Source organism: Homo sapiens, chromosome 10 (genome assembly GCF_000001405.40).
Source record: "Homo sapiens chromosome 10, GRCh38.p14 Primary Assembly".
NCBI classification, from domain to species: Eukaryota; Metazoa; Chordata; class Mammalia; order Primates; family Hominidae; genus Homo; species Homo sapiens.
The window spans coordinates 42,782,095-42,803,526 of record NC_000010.11 but is presented as its reverse complement, the minus strand read 5'-3'; the positions used below and the strand labels follow the sequence as shown (position 1 = coordinate 42,803,526).

At 40.4% G+C, this 21,432-nt stretch overlaps 1 protein-coding gene across 8 annotated transcripts in view, besides 1 other annotated feature; it reads right to left on the bottom strand.

Annotated features, from left to right (window-relative positions):
* The window catches only part of BMS1 (BMS1 ribosome biogenesis factor), a 52,143-nt gene extending 31,411 nt beyond the window's left edge, over window positions 1-20,732 (bottom strand). For 6 of the 8 annotated variants that reach the window (XR_007062019.1, XM_005271846.4, XM_047426040.1 and 3 more), the window contains exons 1-13: window positions 20,529-20,732; window positions 18,957-19,165; window positions 17,855-18,045; window positions 16,280-16,359; window positions 13,016-13,204; window positions 11,758-11,900; window positions 10,913-11,034; window positions 10,383-10,570; window positions 9,536-9,675; window positions 6,296-7,053; window positions 6,004-6,105; window positions 4,902-5,059; window positions 1,309-1,390 (exon numbers count right to left, since the gene is read on the bottom strand). Coding sequence is in view for 7 of the 8 variants with exons in the window: in XM_005271846.4 (XP_005271903.1) it covers window positions 1,309-1,390; window positions 4,902-5,059; window positions 6,004-6,105; window positions 6,296-7,053; window positions 9,536-9,675; window positions 10,383-10,570; window positions 10,913-11,034; window positions 11,758-11,900; window positions 13,016-13,204; window positions 16,280-16,359; window positions 17,855-18,045; window positions 18,957-19,132 (2,329 nt within the window). In the remaining variant the exon portion in view is untranslated. The remainder of the gene's footprint in view (window positions 1-1,308; window positions 1,391-4,901; window positions 5,060-6,003; window positions 6,106-6,295; window positions 7,054-9,535; window positions 9,676-10,382; window positions 10,571-10,912; window positions 11,035-11,757; window positions 11,901-13,015; window positions 13,205-16,279; window positions 16,360-17,854; window positions 18,046-18,956; window positions 19,166-20,528) is intronic. The other 2 variants (XM_011540402.3, NM_014753.4) reach the window with 2 other exon arrangements.
* Window positions 20,552-20,901: an enhancer, noted in NCBI's record as "active region_3281". NCBI's record gives its function as "activates an Ori minimal core promoter by ATAC-STARR-seq in GM12878 lymphoblastoid cells {active_cell/tissue: GM12878}" and the evidence as "EXISTENCE:reporter gene assay evidence [ECO:0000049][PMID:35858748]".

Sequence of the window (21,432 nt, the reverse complement as noted above, 5' to 3'; positions counted from 1 at the left end):
TAAATGAACCAACAGAGATCAGTGATATTAACTAGAAGGCCCAGAAAAAAAAATTATATATATATAAAGAATACATTCACATACTACAGACTAGGCACAGTGGCTCATGCCTGTAATCCCAGCACTTTGGAAGGCTAAGGCGGGAAGATTGCTTAAGCCCAGGAATTCAAGGCCAGCTAGGCAACATGGCAAGACCCCCATCTGTACAAAATATTTAAAAATTAGCCAGGCATGGTGGTATACATTTGTGGTTCAAGCTACTCAGGAGGCTGAGGCAGGAGTATCTCTTAAGCCTAGGAGTTTGAGACCAGCCTGGGAAACATAAAAAGACTGTCTGTACAAAAAAATTTTAAAATTAGCTGGGTGTAGTGATGCAAGCCTGTGGTCCTAGCTACTCGGGAGGCTTCAGTCTGCGAGGTTGAGGCTGCAGTGGGCCATGACCACACCATAGCACTCCAGTCTGGGTAACAGAGCGACATCCTGTCTCAAGACAAAACAAAAAGAATGACCTTCCAAAAAACCATGTGGCAGTTGCAATCCATAAAAATGACTCAATTCTAACACTTATGAATCTGTCTTATGAAAATAAAAAAGTGTGAGCCAAGAATTATTTCAAAGTTGTTCAGTGTGGAGTTCTTTATAAAATGAACAAAGTATAAAACTACTTAGATATTGAAAAAATTGTGACTTCAATAATGGTATGATAATAATAAATAATATTTTATTTATTTTAAATAAAATATTTTTTAATTTTAAATAATAAAAATGAAATATTTGAAAAAATTTAATGACAAAATTTATAAAAAGTACATCACTTAAGCAATCCTCCTGCCAAAAATTATATAAAGTACAACTAAAAAGGTTTAAACACACAATTTTTAAATGACTAGAAGGAAACAGTTGAAGAAGCTAACAAAGGTTTTTTTATGGGTTGGTAGAATTCTGGTATGTTATGTACTTTTCATTCGAAATTTTCCACAATGCATACTACCTTTATTATGAAAAAAATATAAATGTTATTTGTATATATTTTTCACATCACACAAAATCTATTTTTAACAAACACATGATTAAAATTTATGGAAAGTTTCTCACTTTTAAAGTCCATACGCAGTAAATCAGCCAACTGAGAAAATAAGATCATCATAAAAGGAAAACCCAGAATATTACCTGGTTCATTACTCCTGTCTGAATTCCCAAAGCATTTGACAAGTGACTATTATTTTCAATTTGACTATTGTCTAAGATACTGAAGAAAATAAAGTTTAGAGAAGCCAGTCTTCCTGAAGAACCCAGCTCTTTACTTACCATCTTCTGCTAAGACCTTGGCTGCATCTTTATCATCTTCCCACTTTCCAGTCACGAAGCAATCTCTGATACTGTTCATAACCTTACGCAGAAAAGTCAGCACTTAGGTGAGGTGTTCCAATCACTCAGCAAAACAACTCTAAGAAATGGCAGTAGGTGACAACTTGCCTTTAAATATTTCCCACTTTCATGGATATTCTCATTCCAAATGAGCCCAGAAAATAACTTTACCTTTGATGGAGACAGTATAACCACAGAGATAAAACACATTAAGCAGCAGACAGGGAAAGTATTAAATACTACTACTCTACTGACCTCATAAGTAAACAAACAGATAATTACTAATTCAACTGATTTTCAATTTTATTAAGGTTTCTAAGGCAATGCAATGAGACAGTAGTTTACAAAGTTGGTCTTGCTATTTGTTAATCTAAACCTGTTTGAAAACTGAATTCCTATAACATGGGAGAAGATATCTGCAAATTATGTACCTGATAAGGGACTTATATCCAGAATATATAAACAACGCATACAACTAAGTAATCCAATTTTTGAAATGGGCAAACAATATGAAGAATATGTACAAATAGCCAATAAGCACATGAAAAGATGTTCAACATCATTATCTATCAGGGAATGCAAGTCAATGCTACAATGAGATACAACTTCACCCCCTCTAGGATGGCTATAATCACAAAGACAGATAATAGCAAGTGCTGGTGAAGAACTGGTGAAACTGGAACCCACCTACAGTGCCAGTGGGTAAGTAAAATGGCACAGTCACTTTTGAAAAGAGAAATGAGACAGTATATAAGGGAAAAAAATCTTTAACTGTTTTCAGTAGTCATATTATTCTGACACTATTTTGTGTGTAATATGGGATAAAGCAAATGAGTAATTATGTGATTCTCTAATTTCATCATCTGCTGATTCAACCAAGGAATAATTCTCCAGTGGAAGAATGAGTAAGATGTAGTCCTGTATGTGAACTGGAAATATCTATATGAGCTCTCCTGGTTCAGGTCACTGAGAAGGCCTAGAAGTAATGACCAACTCATGGCAGTAGCATTCCTATGCCTAGGCTGTCACGTTGAAATACCATTTCCTACTAAAAGAAATCAGGATTTCTTATGGGTGATTCCAAGCGCTCTCTCATATCATAGAGCAAGAATTGATAAAGAATGACTATGATTGTAACATAAGGACTCAGGAGCTGGTGTGCACAGACTCTTACAGGCCACAGGTGGGATAAAGAGGAGCTTCAATAAGGGATAACAGGTGCAGGAGCACAAGGCACATCAACTACATTTATATCCATGACATCACAGTGAAACTTACAAACAAGTATCCTTTGGAGAATCACTCCACAAACTGATTAAAAAATCAAGCATGGGCTGGGTGCAGTGGCTCACACCTGTAATCCCAGCACTTTGGGAGGCCGAGGCACGTGGCTCAGGAGGTCAGGAGTTCGAGACCAGCCTGACCAACGTGGTGAAACCCCATCTCTACTAAAAATGCAAAAAAATTAGCTGGGCCTAGTGGTGGGCGCCTGTAATACCAGCTACTCGGGAGGCTGAGGCAGGAGAATGGCATGAACCCGGGAGGCAGAGCTTGCAGTGAGCTGAGATTGTGCCACTGCACTCCAGCCTGGGCGACAGAGCGAAACTCCATCTCAAAAAAAAAAAAAAAAAAATCAAGCATTTACCCTATATATATGGCAGTGGATAACCGAATAGAAGAGGAAAAGTTTCTCTTTAAAGAAGTGTTACAGCTAATACATAAAGAGAAATGATTGAATGGAACATCACCACTCTACATTCTTAAGAAATTGGTATGGTTCTAGGCATTGAGCACCAACAACTGATAACATCTAACAGCATTAAAAGGACACAACCAGTCTTTATGCGCCTCCTAATGAGAAAACACCATCACCTGGGAAGCAGTTTCGCCGAAAAATAAAAATCAAATTTAAATCCCATCCAACTGCTAGATGTTTTGTCTACAGGGTAACTAGAAATATGTGACTATTTAAATTAATCTTAATTAAGATTAAATAACATTTAAAATTTAGTTCTCCAGTCTCATTAGCCACATTTAAAGAGCTCAGTAGCCACAAGTAGCCACAACCCACAGCTCAGATATACATTCCTTTCATTACAGAAGTTCTATTGGTATTGCTCCATACCCATTCACAGGAAATACAGGAGGGCCTGGGAAACTCCAGAGGGATGCAAAGCAATCCACAAAATCCAGAATACAAGAAACTCTACAGACCAAAGACTTGGTTTATTAAATAAAATGTAACCAAAGAAAGAAATGGGAAGGAAAGACTGTTGACTAAAAATGTTAAAAGATAGACTGAAAAACAGTAATGAAGACCAAGTAAAAGTAAACTATGATGCTTATGGAAGCATGGAGGAGGAAACCAGGAAGAAAAGGAAAGCATCACCTTAAGAGGCTGGACTACACCTCCTTCTACAGGGAGGAAGGGGACTGTGGCTGGTGTCACAATTGAGCAGCAAAGCTTGATTTCCCAGCCTGAGTGCTGAGTACAGGGATATTCACCTTCTGGCAACCCATTAGGCTGAACAATTGTTTTTACGTGGTTTTATATATCTGTATTAAATTTCACCATAAAAAAATGGTTAAATAAAATCTCATAAAGTACATTAAGTGTTATCTGGCGAATTACAATAGACAGTATGATAGCAATTGGGCCTCTGTGAGAAGTGACATCTAAGCCAAACTGAATTGACAAAAAGAAAGCAGCCTTTGGAAAATCAGAACATTCCAGAAGAGAATAGAGAGAAAGGGGCTGGCGCGATGGCTCACTCCTGTAATCCCAGCACTCTGGGAAGTTCCAAGGCAGGAAGATCATTCGAACCCAGAGTTCGAAACTAGCTCAACATGGTGAAACATTATCTCTACAAAAAATGCAAAAATTAGCCAGGCCTGGTGGCTCGTGCCTATAGTCCCAGCTACTCTGGAGGCTGAGGTGGGAGGATCCCTTGAGCCCAGGAGGTCGTGGCTGCATTGAGCCATACACTTGTGCCACTACACTCCAGCCTGGGCTGCAGAGAAAGACCATATCTTAAAGAGAGAGAGAGAGAAAGAGAAGAGGTCTAAGAGGAGGGTAAGCTGTGGTGAGTTTGAGTACTGAATGAATTCCAGTGTGACTACAAAATGGTAAGCTGCAGGAAGAACATATACAGGTATCACAGATTTCTCTATGCTTACAAATAGCAGAAACTATAAATGTTAACTCAGGGATGCTACATATATCCTAGTGATAAGACACAAAATACATCTGATGTATAAAAACTTATGTGTGATGTTTCAAAATAAAGATGCACACTACTGTCCACACTGAAAGCTGAACCTGTCCTCTGTGGGCCATGTACATGGTCTAACTAAACTCAGAACATGTTACTGCTTAGGATGCATGAAGCGCCCACTACAATATCTGGGAGAATGACCTGTAATCCTGTAAAAATAAGAAGCCAACAACAGGTAAGCAATATTGACATCAGATAATCTTATTCTAGAACAATTCGCTAATTCTCTAATAAATCAAATGTACTACCCAGACTTACCTCCTCTAAATCCCAGTCATGGGGGGCCTCCACAAGAAATCTGGAGCAGTCCAAAGAGTCAGCCTTGTGCTTACACTCTCTGTCAGGCTGGTTGACACGAAACAACCCTCCAAGCTCTTCTAGAGTATCATCATCTTCTTCTTCATTATCTTCTGTCACTAAAGAGCACACCATGGCAGAAAAGTGAGAACAAAAATTACAGCCCTAGAGGACTCATCATTTTCAACCAGTTAGGCCATGAGTCTTTGAACTCAGGAACTGAGGGACTCTGTCTGTGGTGGGTATGGCAATGGCCACATAAGAGTTAGGCATTGAGAGGGCAGGGCAGCCACAGATGAAGAGAGCCAGGAAGCTATTGCTCTACATGTGTGGGGCTCCTGTGCTCCTGCACGGGAGCAGCTAAGAGGCCGAGGAGTGAGAATATTAGCGGTGAAGGGAGGGAAGGGAATTTAAAGGCAGAGCTTTAGATTATTAAAGAAGAGCTCTAAAGAGTGTTGAGCCTCTCATCACTAAGAGTACCTAGACAAAACCTGAATGAAAATCAGTATACAACAACCTTCCCAATTCAGTGGGCTGAGCCCAAATGTCTCACCATGTGGCCTTGATCTCACCATGCAGTAACCAGGGAGCACAATGTAAAGTTCACCACTATATATTTATTTTTGCATTAATTCTACCAGAAAGAACATATTGGTAAGTTTAGTAAAGCATAAAATCAGAGGACAAGGGCAAAAGGGAGAACAAAATGTGTTATACAGGGTTCTCATTCTCAGAAAGGAAAAAAATAAATATTTTTATGGGCAGGAATATTTTTCTGGCACTAATCTACAAAAAAATTCTCATGAAGGACTTTTAAATAGGGGACATAACATGATGCAATGGACGGTATTTGCATCAAGTTTTACAGCAAACCCATAAGTCTACTTTATAAGACCAATGTGTGGTCCTCATAAGCTGATGATTAGAGACATCTGTCAAATATGAAATGTGATGGACAGCAATTATGGATGTCAACAATACCAGCCGAATCCTCCAACCAATTCCCTCATCTAAATAATCAGAGAAACTAAAACATTTCTAGTTCTGAACCAGAATTCTTTACCTGTCCCATAAATAAGCTTTCGGAGGTTTGGAGCTGCTTGCTGCTGCCTCAGAAAGGCCTCAGCTGCCTTTCTGGAAAGGTCTTCCTTCCACTTGAGGGCACCTGAAACGACCAATGCCAACCTCCAGTTAGGCTTATTCATGTGTCTCCCCTCCCTTGAGATCCATCCACAATGCAGCTTTTCAACAGTTAACAAAATCACAGAATCAACAGACCCCTAAATGTAGACATTCCTTTGGTTACCATTTCGAGAGCCAAGTTCATAGCAGCAACCAACTACATTTAAGCTTACCTGACGTTTCTTTGGAATCATTATTTTCTTCCTTGTAATCTTCTTCCTCTTTGAGTAAATTTTCTATATCACTGGTCTCATCAATGAAGTTCTGTGGCCCCAGTTTCTGACCACTGCTCACTTGAGAAGGCTTTGAAAGCTTTTTTCTAATAGCCTCTTCATTTTCTGAGTCTTCTTCCTCTGCACTGAGTGAGGAGCTTTCTTCAGATTCATCTTCAGATGCAAACACCTCTTCAGCTGTGCAATGCCCAGAATCGAAAGTGGGGAGAGCTGCTTTCTTCATCAGCAAAGACTTCTCCAGATTCACACGGTCACTCTGGCAATTAGCTGGTGACAGCCCTGCTTTACTACCTTCTCCAGCAGCCTTTGATCCTGAAATGCCCTTCTCTCCTGCAGTGCAGTCCTCTTCTTCACTGCTTTCATCAGCTTCCTCCGCTTCCCCTTCTTCCGCTGAGCTCCTCTCAAGGTCATCGTCACTGTCAGCAAATGCTGGCAAATCCATTTCACTGTCTTCTTCCAACTCAAGTTTCCGTCGTTTGATGCCCTTAACAGCCATATACTGATCAGTCATCTCAGCATTTTCCTCCTCTTCTGCTTCCTCATCACTAGAGCCGTTTTCCAACCCGTCATCTTCAGACATTTCATCATCTTCTTCATCATCACTATCTCCAGATTCATCTTCATCTCCGAAAATGGCTTTCCGACGCATTCGACCAGTGTTCAAGTCCATTTGTTTTTCCTCCTTTGGCATCATTAGCCTGTATTACCAAGGAAATACAAAATAATTCAATTTGTACATTAATCAGCTAATCTAGAAATGGCAATATAGTCAATGAAAATACAAAGAAATAGAAAATGTCAAGGAATTGTTTAAGATGACATAGCATAGGGAAAATATGATTTGATAAACATTGGAAGAGTTAAGAAGCAAACTCGGGCATGGTTCCCTAACACCACACTTCAAAAGAACTTATAGAGAGAATAAAGGAATAACCCTTAAAAAACAAAAATCTAATTTTAGAAAAAAATTGCTCAAAAGAGAAGTTACTGTTTTGTAGATCTTTTGGAAAGCTGATTAATTTCTAAGCTAAAAACACATGATCCTTAAGAGAAATGGGTAAGTCCAGGCCCAAAGCAGAAAGAAGGCAAAATGAGCCTGGATCCTCTTGTTCTGTCAGAAAGTGAGAAATGCTCAAAGACTAACAGAGACAGTTGAAAGGACACAGGAGACAGGCTGAAGGCTCCTGCAGCCAAATCTGGGCCAGCATAGGCATCAGGAAGAATAATGATAGTGATGGAAAATAACCCATGGAACAAAACACAAGTGCATTAGTCAGCAGTGATACCGAAATAAAGGGGAGAAGAGAAAGCTCTTTGTTAAAAATGCCAGCTAACAAACGTAGGAGGAATGACAGAGGAAGAACATCCATTTTAAGTCACCAGTGCTATAACTGATACAGAAGAATCATCAGGAAGCTAAAATCACAGGATAAAAGAAAACTGTATGAAGCTATTTAATGTAGCAAGATATATAAAATTAAGAAAACATAAATTTGAAAAAACTGAAAATCATACCATAAGAGACGGGTAAGTTAGAATACAGCAATAATAGGCCAGGGGTAGTGGCTCACATCTGTAATCCCAGAACTTTGGGAGGCCAAGGCAGGAGGATTGCTTGAGCCCAGGAGTTTGAGACCAGCCTGGGCAACATGGTGAGACCTAATCTCTAGAAAAAAAAAAAAAAATTAGCTAGGAGTGGTGGCGCACTCCTGTAGTCCCAGCTACTTGGGGGGCTGAAGCAGGAGGACCACTTGAGCCTGGGAGTTCAAGGCTGAAGTGAGCCAAGATCATACCACTGCACTCCAGCCTGGGAGACAAAGCAAGATCTTGTCACAAAAAAAAAAGAATACACCAATAATAACAAAATGATGACTACATAAAGACTGTATAGAAGAAGGAAATGACAAAGGACTATAAATCATGCTGCTATAAAGACACATGCAAACGTATGTTTATTGCCGCACTATTCACAATAGCAAAGACTTGGAACCAACCCAAATGTCCAACAATGATAGACTGGATTAAGAAAATGTGGCACATATACACCATGGAATACTATGCAGCCATAAAAAAGGATGAGTTCATGTCCTTTGTAGGGACATGGATGAAATTGGAAATCATCATTCTCAGTAAACTATCACAAGAACAAAAAACCAAACACCGCATATTCTCACTCATAGGTGGGAATTGAACAATGAGAACACATGGACACAGGAAGGGGAACATCACACTCTGGGGACTGTTGTGGGGTGGGCAGAGCGGGGAGGGATAGCATTGGGAGATATACCTAATGCTAGATGACAAGTTAGTGGGTGCAGCGCACCAGCATGGCACATGTATACATATGTAACTAACCTGCACATTGTGCACATGTACCCTAAAACTTAAAGTATAATAAAAAAAAAAAGAAGGAAATGATAATATAGAAATAAAATTATGTATTTTAACTGTAACTATATTAGAGGAGAGTATTCTTGTAGACAAAGATGACTAGAAGGATATGCAAAAGTGAAAATAGCTAGTAATCCCATTATAAAGGAGTGATCTTTCGGCGAACACTTCGTACCTGTCAGGCATTCTGCTAGGTAGTTTATGCACATTGTACCAAATTACATACTAGATAATCTCAAAATTTTCAGATAAATTTTACTGGGAGTCATAAATCAATACAACAAAACCAATGTTTTGCAAACATCCACTGCATATAAAGGTATACAAATCCCCAACCCAGACTGGAAAATAATTCACATGAGCCATACATCCACGGAAACCTACCCAGAGGAGATAATACAACACAATCTAAATAAAACTTTCAGAGACAAGGCATGTGGCTTCTGGACAGCCACAAACTCCCTGACTTTGCTCTAGTGTTTTGGCCACCAAAAGAAAGCCAAGTGGCTTCAGGTCTCTTAAAAAACAAAAGGCAACCTATGGAAGATGGCATGGTATTTGAGGAATATTTGGGGTCTGTTGAAAAATGCATCCTGCAATTTATTTCAAGAAAAGACTCCCTTGTAATGTCAGGTAAGTGAAGAGCCCTCAGAGACACATGCACACACAAAGAAAAACAAAACAACATAGAATGAATCCCACCGAAATGTGTTATGATGGCTGAATTATGGGTGATATGATCTTTTGTAATACATCTTTTTATTAAAAATAGAAAAAAAGCAGACTTACCCTTGATTATCTATATCCTCTGACCCAAGTGGCTTGGAATCAGAAAACAGCGTCACTCGACTTGAAGCCATCTTGGCATCAATGGTGGAGTGGGTAGAGATGAGACTCTGGACCAGCTCATGGGTGGGCCCCACTTCATCCTGTCAAGACCACCAAGAAAGGGCACGTGAGGAAAGCACAAAGATCCTGGAGAGACACGAGCTTCACTCAGTTTCTCAAAATTATCTTAGACACATTTCCTAAGAACCTTTCTTAATGCCTCAAAAAGCAGAGAAGAAAATCCTTACAACAAAGCTTGAAATGGATCCCCATCTCCATTAAACTTTTCCAAAGTTCAGGGAGTATATAACCTGATAACCTAAACAACCTAGCTAGAAAAACCTCAGCTCCAAAGCTACAACAATGCTAGCTTTTCTAATATTTTAAAATAAGCCGATTTTAACCCAATAAAATTCCACTTCAGAACAAAGAAATAAATATTTGAAATCCACTTTAAAATACAGCATGAGGAGACCATTGTGAATGAGAAAAAGACCAATGAAAGCTGGAAAGCACACTGATTTTGTAGAAACGGGGATGGGCCGTGCAGGCGCCACACAGCAGCAATGCCTGTGCTGGGGCCATGGATCAAGGAGGAATGAAGGAGAGGACTCTTCTGCTTGGTACAATGAAAAAAAAAGTATTATTTTTATCCTATATATTTACAATATGCATTTGGGCCTTTATTATAAGTACAAGAGAAAAATCTTCAATAAATAAAAGCTGAGTACATTACTTTTTGTGATTAAAAAATAGATTCAGAAAGAATACTGAAAGTTCAGAGAAATGACTCCCGTCTCACCGATACCTGAAAAACGTGGCTGCCACCAAGGTCAACATAGACAGCGTCTTTGTCATACAGCACACCCCCAACTCCAGAAAGAGGCGCATAAACCAGCTTCTCCTTCTCATTTAAACAGCGCTTCTTTTGTTGTTCAGGAAGAGCGCAAGGGTCTGGGAGGAAACTGATGTCACTCACGGCAAAATCTCCTACCCCTGGAAGACAGAACCCAAAAGCCAGCTTCAGCTGACAAGAAGTCAGAAGCATCTACCATTGACTAGGGGGTTAAATATGATCCACAGTCCAAGGGCTTAACCCATAACACTAAAGAAGGGCATTGTGCCACACTGGAACAGTGGCCCCCTAGCTACAAGACAAGAGGTCAGAGAAGAGGGGATTCAGTAACACCTTTGCAGGCCTACACATAGGTGGCTTACTTTTAAAACCTCCAGCAAGGCCATCTTCCCTTGTTTGGTCATTTTTCAGTTTTCCTGAGAAATGAAGCCATCCCAAGAATCCTATGTGTAATTCTAGTATGTTCTACAACAAGAGAATACCTGGCATGTGAATTTGGCTTTTATTTTTCAAGTGTGCTCCTCTTAAATAACCATAAAGTGACACCTTCCGGTCACATTTGATGTTTGTTCGGATATCCTCTGGGTTTGTCAAATCTTCCATCCTAGAAAAATAAATTCAATCACAGCAGAAATGAATGCCAAAAGTTCCTATACCTCCTTTCATGTGTCAATGATTCATCACACTCTTGTCCATTAAGCACGTCATTTAGAAAACTAGAAAATGCAGAAATAAGGAGGCACCATTCACCATCCACCAGAGGAAAAGGGGCAGACACACAACTGTGTCTCTAGGCTGAAAGTGATATTCATTCCATAAGACACCAGACAGGGAGATGACGTCCACCTGGGGTCGGGGAAGAGTGAAGAACATATTCAGAAAATCCCTTTCTGGAAGAGGGCGAGCCTGTGCTCTGGGATTTTTACTGTGGCTTGGATTCTGGCAGGTGGAAAAAGGGAATTCCAGGCTGAGAAAACCACACGAGGAAGAGCACAAAGGAAGGAAACAGAAGGCACACACGAAGGACTCAAGCACCCGGGCATGAAGGCAGCATCACTGAAAACTGAGGCTGAACGTAGGATGGGGCCACATCCTGTAGCCTTAAATACTTCCAAGTTCTCCCATTTTCCTTAACATCTCATAATTAATTTACTCCCAAAGGCACGGCATCTTTGAGCAATGATATAAGTAGACATTTTCCATCAACTACACTTCTATCCCCCCTATTCAAATCGGCACAAAATAAATCCTATCACTGTTCTTTTTCTAGCCTTTTTAGCTTTGAAATATATGGCCCAGGAAGAAAAAGCTTAAAATCATATTTTACCTGTCTGCCAGGATATAAGGGTGAGAAGTTTGCCATGTGAGAGGCCTAAACTTCATAACTGTAATAAAACGGCCCAGATTGTGGATTTCTTGGTTTTGATATTCTCCATGCACCATTCCAGAAAGGTAGAACAGCTTGGCACCCTAAACATTAGAGGAAAATTAAAAATTAAATTTCAATTAAATTATCATCAATACTGCAACAAAATAAAAGCTCTAAACAAGAAGCAATCCTAAGAAGGGAGACTTCCAGCAAAGCCACTGTCCTGAGGCTTCCAGAGCCTTGCTGGCTTCTTTCAGGATTTATTAGAACCCCACAGAGGCAGACTGCTCTGCAGCCGAGCCGGGGCATCCATCTAAGTATGGTGAGGAGAGGGAGGTGAGGCGTCTGAGCACAGAAACGGTTCTGTGGCCAATGGTCCAGAGCAGTATAGAAAGGAAGGGGCAGTGCCTGGTCCTGTAACTGGGAGAAACTTCCGAGGTACTCTATTAAGTCCTGACCCCAAAACAGCCAGACACTGCCTGGTGCAGCAGGTACAGAGAGAGACAAATGAGATACACCAAGAGGCCCCAAACAAGCACTCTTTTGAGGGAAACCTTCCAGAAAACTGAACACACACACAAAGGAATTCAGCAGGCCAAAGACTGAACACATACACAAAGGGAATTCAGCAGGCCAGAGACTGTGAACACACACACAAAGGAATTCAGCAGGCCAGAGACTGTGAACACACACACAAAAGAATTCAGCAGGCCAGAGGCTGAACACATACACAAAGGAATTCAGCAGTCCATAGACTGTGAACACACACACAAAGGAATTCAGGAGGCCAGGGACTGTGAATACACACACAAAGGAAATTCAGGAGGCGAATCCTAGAGAGACGTTTAGTAATGTCTCTTTAGTATTTTTTTTTTTTGAGACAAGCGTCTCACTGTGTCACCCAGGCTGGAGTGCAGTGGCGTGATCTCAGCTCACTGCACCCTCTGCCTCCTAGGTTCAAGCAATTCTCACTTCTCAGCCTCCTGAGTAGCTGGGATTACAGGCGCACGCCACCACACCGGACTAATTTTTGCATTTTTAGTACAGATGGGGTTTGGTCATGTTGCCCTGAGCTCAAAACTCTAGGCTCAAGTGATCCGACCGCCTCTGCCTTGCAAAGTGCTGGGATTACAGGTGTTAGCCACTGCACCCGGCCTCTTCAGTCTATTTTAAAAGGATTATACTGTTAGTATCCAACAATTATTTCTCTTCGTACCGGGTAAACTTCCGTCCAGAACCTGTGTTTTAATCGCTTCTTTGTCTTCTTCAGTTGCTTATTATGCTTGAAGGAGTCGAGGTGGGTGAGAACTCCCATAATTTTAGGAAAGCCATGTACTTGACAGATGTTTAGAAACTCAAACGTTTCCATTTCAAACCCAAAGCTGGCATCTATAAGCATCAGTACCTAAAAGCAGAACACATAATTTCTCAAAGAAACTACCAAAACAGACCACCTACACTAAGGGTTGGCAACTGGCCACGGGCAAAATCCAGCCCATCACCTGTGTTTGTAACTAAAGTTTTATTGGAACATAGCCACATTAATTCATTTACATATTGTCTATGGCTGCCTGTGCACTACAACTGCAGAGCTAAGTAGCTGCAGAAGATATGATCCACAAAGCCAAAAATATCTACTACCTGGCCCTGGACGGAAAAGTTGCACTCCAGACTAAATCAAATGACTACACAGGCATCACCCAGACAGAGAAACCACCACCCTCTGACTTGCTCTAAAAGCCAACCCATAAGACAATGTCCACTAGGATATAAACTTCCATTATAAGAATTTTAATGTATGAGAAGTAACTCAGAAAAGGCTGGGTCTAACCTGGCCCTTACCTAAGAAATCCTAATTTAAAGAAATCAAGTTTTCTGTAAGGTATTTTTAAGCCAAATAACAGGTCTCTGGCATCCAAAGAATGGGAAGAGAGTCATAATCAATGAAATACATTAAATATGTACAGAAAACCAACCTCTTCTTTCAATCGCCTCATAGAAAAAAAAACCACAATCTGTTTTTTGTTGAGAAGTATGCAGTGGAAACCTCTATCTTATATGTTAATTTGGATAACTCAATTGCTCAGAAATTTTTTTTAAATAGCTACCAGTTTAGAATTAGGTAAAAAAAAAAACAGTAAGATTACGATGAATGGTAGTCTATAAGAAAATATAAGCAGATGAGACCAATTTTTAAAATTTAAGATGCTTCAAAGATGCAAAATAATTTCAGAATTGATTCCTGGAAATTTCTAGTTTAAGTATTAAAAACATTTCTGTTCTTATCTTTGCATAGATAACTAAAAATAACAAAAAAAATGGAAACAGAAATGCCCATCTTTGATTAAACTAGGAAACATTCAAAATCCGAAACCACAGAATATATGAAGGTGGGCTTGTGAGAAAGCACAGCTGCTACTGTGGACTGAGGCAGCAAGCACAGCTTTTCAGCAACACTGGACCAGCTCAAAGGACAGGCGGAATATCCTCACACTACATTTGATGCCACAGAGTGCCAGGGGGCAAGCAGCTGATTGTAGGGTCAGGAAGAACAGGGAGCAAACAGTCCCTCAGCTGCCAGTCTTTGTCATCTAAGCCAGTGTTATTCCCCTAATCTACACACGCCTGTACACACCCAAATCCACGTACTGTGTGTGCCTTTGCTGTACACAGGAGGCTTTGGCAACCCACAGCAGAGCAGTCAACATAAGCTAGGCTAAATAAATTATGGTGCCTCCATAGAATGGAATATTATATTAAAAAGGAGACAGAGCTGCAGTACTTACTGATTATATACCTCCAAAATACATTATATGAAAAAAGCAAAGCATAGAACAGTGTGTAAAATAAGCTACCATTTGTTTTTAAAGGGTGGCATGTGTGTTTATATGTATCTAAAAGGATACTGCTCTGCAGGGATCTGAGAGACCAGCGGTTATACTAAGGAAAAAGAAAATGCACATTGTGTGCACCCTGCATTACAGTTAGAGTACTTTACCAAATGTGTGTGTTCCTTTTGAAAAATCTTTAAAAGATTTACATAATGGGCATCTCTCTCAATGATGGTTAAGAGGCTGGGAAGGGGAGCAGGGAGGGAGGGACAAAGAGGGAAAGGTTAACAGGTACAAAAATACAGTTAGAATAAATTCTGGTGTTCAACAGCACAATAGGGTGACTATAATTTATTATATAATTCAGAATAACTATAAGAATGAAATTGAAATGTTCCTAACACAAAAAAATGATAAATGTTTGAGGTGATGGATATCCTAATTACCCTGATTTGATCATCACACATTGTATGCTTCTGTCAAAATACCACATGTACCCCATAAATATGTATAACTATTATGTATCCATAATAATTAAAAATAAAAAAAAGTAAAGGTATCTCTTAATATGTATGTCTTTAAAATTAGAAGCTTGCTACATTTTAAATAAAAGAGAAACAAATGACTTCTATGAACTATTTCAATCATTTCAAGTATACAAGATTTAGTAAGCTTACACTACGTTAATAATAACACTTATTTTTACTAATATTAACATTACATGTTCAAAATTTGAATGTTATTTAGTTTTCTGACATTACAATGGCACAACTTTAAAATCTGTATTACTTTTTACTTTATATTTTAGGAGTCTTCCTGGGCCAAAGTATAAAATCTGTAGCTCTTTGTCACCAAACAGGTGTCTAGAAAAAACTAAATAAAAATGAAAAAATCAAGGTGTCTGTCACCCCACACTTCCTAATCAATATGGCTTATTTTTTTGCTAATTTGTATTTTATTTTTGCTAATTTAAAAGATAGTTAATAGACTATCAGAATAGTGAACACTATCATTTCCATAAATGCAAGAGCATTTACATTTTCCATACACTGAGGACTGTCTAGACTTTTTATTGATAAACTGACCACTTCTTCAGGGCAATTCATGTACTTACTTCAGCATTATCATTAAGGATGAAGGTTCTGGAACCATCAGGAACAAGGGTCCCAACTTCACACAAGTTACTTAACTGCTGGCAGGCTCTATTTCATCTTATGTAAACTACAGATAATACCTACTCACCTCAAGGGTGTATCAAGGGTTTATGTAAGCTAAATTTGTAGAAAGCAGTTAGCACAGTGCCAGGAAGAGTCCAAGAAGAAATGGTACTTACTATGATATATTTGTACGTATATATGTATACATATTAATGAGCTCTTATTAGTTGTGTTCATTAAAGGTTTTCTCCATCCTGTGATTTGCTTTTAGATTTTGGAACACATTTCATTGTGCACATTCCATTTTTATTATTAACATAACAACATTTATTACCATAATTATCATCAATTCAATCATATCTACCGTATCACTGATGATGACCATGATTCTTTTAATAATTATAAGACTCTCTTCCCTTCATCACGGGGTAAATAACCTATCACAATGCTGTAAGTCTCCATCAGCACCCCAGGCTGCCCCTGCTCACTTACCAGATCTGCTACTTTAGCCAGATCAATCATCATGTTAATGTCACACCCACATTCAATAATGGTGAGTCTGCGCTTTTTACCTATAAGTGAAAAGATGAAAATTTTACTTTAAAAAGACCCTGAAAAAACTCTAACCATCAACTCTTAATTTTCATTTTTTAACTGCATCCAGTAAAACATCATATACATTTACAGGAGCATACAAGAAGTTCATTTTTACAGGCAAAAACTGATAAAATAAAATAAATTCCATTCTGTTTTTCTTGCTGTGTTCTAAATTTAAATAACATCAAAAGTCTACCCAGATGAATAAAAGTGCTCAAAAAGGGAAAATTCTGACTGCACAGACTCCATGATAACCATGATCCTGCTGTTCAGCTGCAGGCCCAATGTCTTTGCCTCTATCAAAACTTCCCGTATTCCCACTAGAGCTACAAACATCCTCAAACATAATGCAACAGAATATTCATAACAATAATTACTTCTAAATTAAGGTAAAAATAAAACAGTCAAGAAAATATGGGCTGGGCACAGTAGCTCTCGCCTGTAGTCCCAGCAACTTGGGAGGCCAAGGCAGGCGGATCCCTTGAGCCCAGGAGTTTTGAGACCAGCCTGGGCCATATGGGGAAACCCCATCTCTACAGAAAAAAAAAAAAAAGGAAAAAAAAGAAAAATTAGCCAGGCGTGGTGGCATACACTACTCAGGAGGCTAAGGTAGGAGGAATGCTTGAACCTGGGAGGTAGAGGCTGCAGTGAGCCGTAATCACACCACTGCACTCCAGCCTGTACCACAGAGTAAGACTCTGTCTCAAAAAAGGGAAAAGAAAATATGGATGCTCCAAAGATAAAGAAAAGCCTCAATCCAACTATATTATTGCAATAACAAGAGATTTCAGAGTGTACATTGCCATTCTACCACTGGAAGTTTGTTTCATTTTCCCTCAAACTCGGAAAGGTCACCATCTCCCAAAGCAGACAATTCTCACAGGAAAAAGAGAAAACTCGCACTTCCACCAGAATGTGGCTTCATAAGGCAAGCATATGCACCTGGCACATAGGAGGTGCGTGCTATCTGTTAAATGATGTGTTCACGGTGACTAGGCCTGCTAGGCCCTTCCAAGGAACATGTTTGGCAAAGCCAAAGAGCAGTCAGGATAAGACATAGTGAACATTATCATTTCTCATACAAAAAATGGAGGAGGAAACCAGGAAGAAAAGGAAAGCATCACCTTAAGAGGCTGGACCACACATCCTTCTACACGGAGGAAGAGGACTGTGGCTGGTGTCGCAATCGAGCAGCAAAGCTTGATTTTCCAGCCCGAGTGCTGGGTTCGAGTATCTTCCTGCCTTGGAACCTCCCAGAGTGCTGGGAGGAAATGTGAACATTATCACATCCTTATCTCTGGGAACTTACCCTTTTCTGAAGCTATAGCCAACTTAGTAATACTAAGTATAAGAGAAGTCCCATGATATGACAATATTTAACATGTTCCACTCAAGAAAACAACAAACGCATGCATGTCCCTCAGATGACAACAGCCACGCCAACTCTGTGTCTGTGGTGGCATCTCCTACCTGACACAATCGTCACAGGGCCTCTGATCTCAGTCAACTTCTGCCGGGTAAAGTTCCGAATGAGGCATTGTATCAAAGTGCTCTTTCCAACTTTTGGAGGTCCCATCACCACTACCACTATTGGTGGGGGCTCTAGTGGAGTTCGATCAACCACTGGAATATGATGCTTTTTTGTCTTCAAATCCTGAGTCCTATTCATTAAAAAATAAACAAATAAATAAATAGTAAACTCATTTTCAAAATAGAGTAAAAGGTATCAACCTTATAAGTAGACTTTTTTGGTACACTTATAGCTATGAGTACTTTAGCACATTTTATAGAGAGTACAACAGACAATATATAAATATAATTAACTTGTCAATTATTAACTTGCTAACTTCTGGCCCCATCCAAATAATTGCTGTTCAATAAAGATGTAACAAGATGACTTCAATACTATAGAGAGCGAAAATTAAACACTCCTTAAATCTGACTGTTTTAAGAGTGATTTTAATAGTTTTTTAAAAAACCAAAAGGTAAATAGCGAGGCAGTACATCATAGCAGATAAGAGCAGAGGCGCTGGAGTTACATTTAGCTCTCCTACTTACTGGTTATATGATTGGAGGTAACTTGTTTTCTTGATCTCAGTTTTCTTACCCATAAAATGAGGGCAAGAATGATTCCTACTCTGGTAAGGCTGCTGGAAGGATTTAGTTGAATAATGTTTAAAGTACACTGCTAGGCATATCACAAGGGCTCACTAAATAAAGCTATGTTAGTATTAAATATTGTAATTTTTGTATTTTATATTACAACTATGTAAAACATACCTGGGGGGAAAAAGCACACTTATCACCATAGAAACAGTTTAAAATTTAGGAACAAACAAAGTCTATAAATTCTTGTATCCTGGGCAATAAACACTAACCAGTATGCAGATGCTGGAGGCAAGGCAGCTTCTATGGGAAAAGCTTCTCACGTTTTAGTGAAAGCCACACACCATGAATCTCCATGTCCTTTGGAGCTGGACTAGACTCGTGAATCCAAATGTCACCTGTGAGAGGCTCCTACTATTTAAAAAAAGAATCAATGGAAGAATGACCAGACCGTAGCCTAACATACCTGTGAAAGGATCGAGCCATCCGCACAGCAGACTGAACTGCAAAAGCTTTGGGATTTCTCTTCCGGGCATCTTCTTCGTCTCCTAGCTGGAGATCCTGCAGAAGCCGCTTCTTTTTCTTTGCAGCTTTGGGTCCACTGTTTTTCTTTCTGTGTTTCTTCTGGTCCTTAGCCTCCATAGTGGCTATTTACCAATAACAAGTAACTCTAACCTACAAGGAAGAAGGTTGGGGTAAGGAGATGGGAGAAGCATTTTACAATCCAGGCAATACCCAGGGAAAAACAGTAAATTTCATTTATTTCTTTATGAAGAGATGATGTATTTGTTCACTGAACAAGGGTAGAAACTGCTTAACCATCCCCAATTTCATTTCTCTCTGTTATGCTATAAATTAGATGAGTTACCTCTCTTAAGATTACATTTTATGGTTAAGTTACTTTTTATTCATCTTAAGTGTCAACATCAGCAGTATCTATTTCTGCAAGGATAGAAATATACTATATCTGTACTTTTCAGCCATTTAGCCATTAGCCACATGTGGTTACTTACAATATACTTAGGGAAACTGAAAAAATGAGTTTTTAATTAATTTCATTCTAACTCCAAATAGTCACATGTGGCTACCATACTGGACAGCTCAGACCCAGGTATCAACTGGACTGATGAAGTGGTTTCCTAACTTAAACTAAAACTTAAATTTTAATAAAAAAATGTGAAACGTTTTTATGAACCTCCAATATGATCGCAGTATTACTTTTAGTACCTGTTGACTCTGTAAAACTCCTAAATTACAACTTATCTACATACATTTGAAAAATAGAAATAGCTGTACGTGTGAGATAGGACTGGTTCTAGATGACACCTGGAGACCCCATGAACTTACAGAGACCCTTCCAGTGATTTCTGAGTTACCTGGGAATCTGTGGCTAATAAATTGGCAATCACTGAATTAGTGAGTTATTTTAGGAAATCGGGCTGCATAAAATCTGACAGCTTGATTAAAAAAAAAAAGCGGAGCAGGATGCCATTTCATTCAATTAAGGTACTGTATTCATTCCGTTGAATAAATATTTGTGTCTGTCTACGATGTGCTAGGCACTGTGCCAGTAAGTGGATACAGCTATTATCTGACTTGCAGAGGAAATCCAAACTATTATCTTCCGCGCCACGCAATAAGGGCGACATTGGAAGGCTGCACAGGGTGCTACTGGAGCACGGAGGTGAGTCAGAGGCTTCCCACAGACACACACCAGCGGAAACAAAGTCTTTATGTATTACCATAATGTCAAGAACACTGGCCAGGAGTTAGGAGAGCTGGGCGCTAGGAACGCTTTGAAACCGAATAGCTGTGTGATTTCAGAGATTATGTTTCTTCTCTGCTATATTTTAGTTCAGCACTTGTACTAATGTTTCTCTCCCTGTCTTTCTTCTTGGTGGGAAAAGCACAATTTGGGGTCAACAGATCCAGCTCAGGTCTAAGTCTCCTACCGGGACCACGTCGCCAGGAAACGACGTCGCCCAGCCACCTTCCCTCCCCGTCTGGGCTCTCTGCAGGGATTCATCACGTCACTCACCCAACTACCCCAGGACACCTCCGCCAGATGAGAAATATGCCGCTCCTCGGGAGCAAAGATGACCCGGAGGACCGGGGGAGGACCTTCCCACACGCACGACTCGCGATCTTCCCAGTGCCCCAGAACCAGGGACCCCACCGCCGCCTACCCCAACCCGCAGCACCGAACCTGCTCGCAGCCGCGACTCCTCAGGTCAGCATGGACACCGCCGGAAACGGAAATTCACAGTCGCGCTGACTCGCCGGAGGGAAACAAGAAGGCAGAAAAAAGAGACCGGCATGGGGACGGCTTTCAGGGGAGAGCCTGAAGAAAGAGGGCTGAACAGCTGAGTGCGGACGCAGGCGCCGTCCGCGCAGTGCGTTCCACCGGGTCCAGGTCCTTCCAGATTCCTCTCCACCCCGCCCTCGGAATCCGCGGCCTCAACTTCCGCGGTGGGACTCCGGAGCAGCGTGCGCCGCGCTCGCCTGAGTTCTCGCCGAAGGCCAGGGCGGCTCTGCGGCCTGGCGCCGGTTAGTTAGTGTGGTGCAAAAGCCGGAAGGAGACACATTTGGTCCTGGCCTCCCGGCAGTCACCGTGCCAAGGACGAATGGACTATCGCTTGATTTGGAGTACACTTCCTCCTCTTTAAAGATTACAGATGAGGGGGATCTCGCGTTCTGGGGTGCCCTAAAGCCCTCTTTTGGCAGGGCGCAGTGGCTCACGCCTGTAATCCCTACACTTTGGGAAGCCGAGGAGGGAGGATTGCTTGAGCCCAGGAATTCAAGACAAGCCTGGGCAACATAGGGAGCCTACCTCTCTCTCTTAAAAAAAAAAAAAAAAAAAATTAGCCGGCATCGTGCCGGGCGCCTGTGGTGCTTGTGGTCCCAGCTACTCTGGAGGCTGAGGTGGGAGGATCGCTTGATCC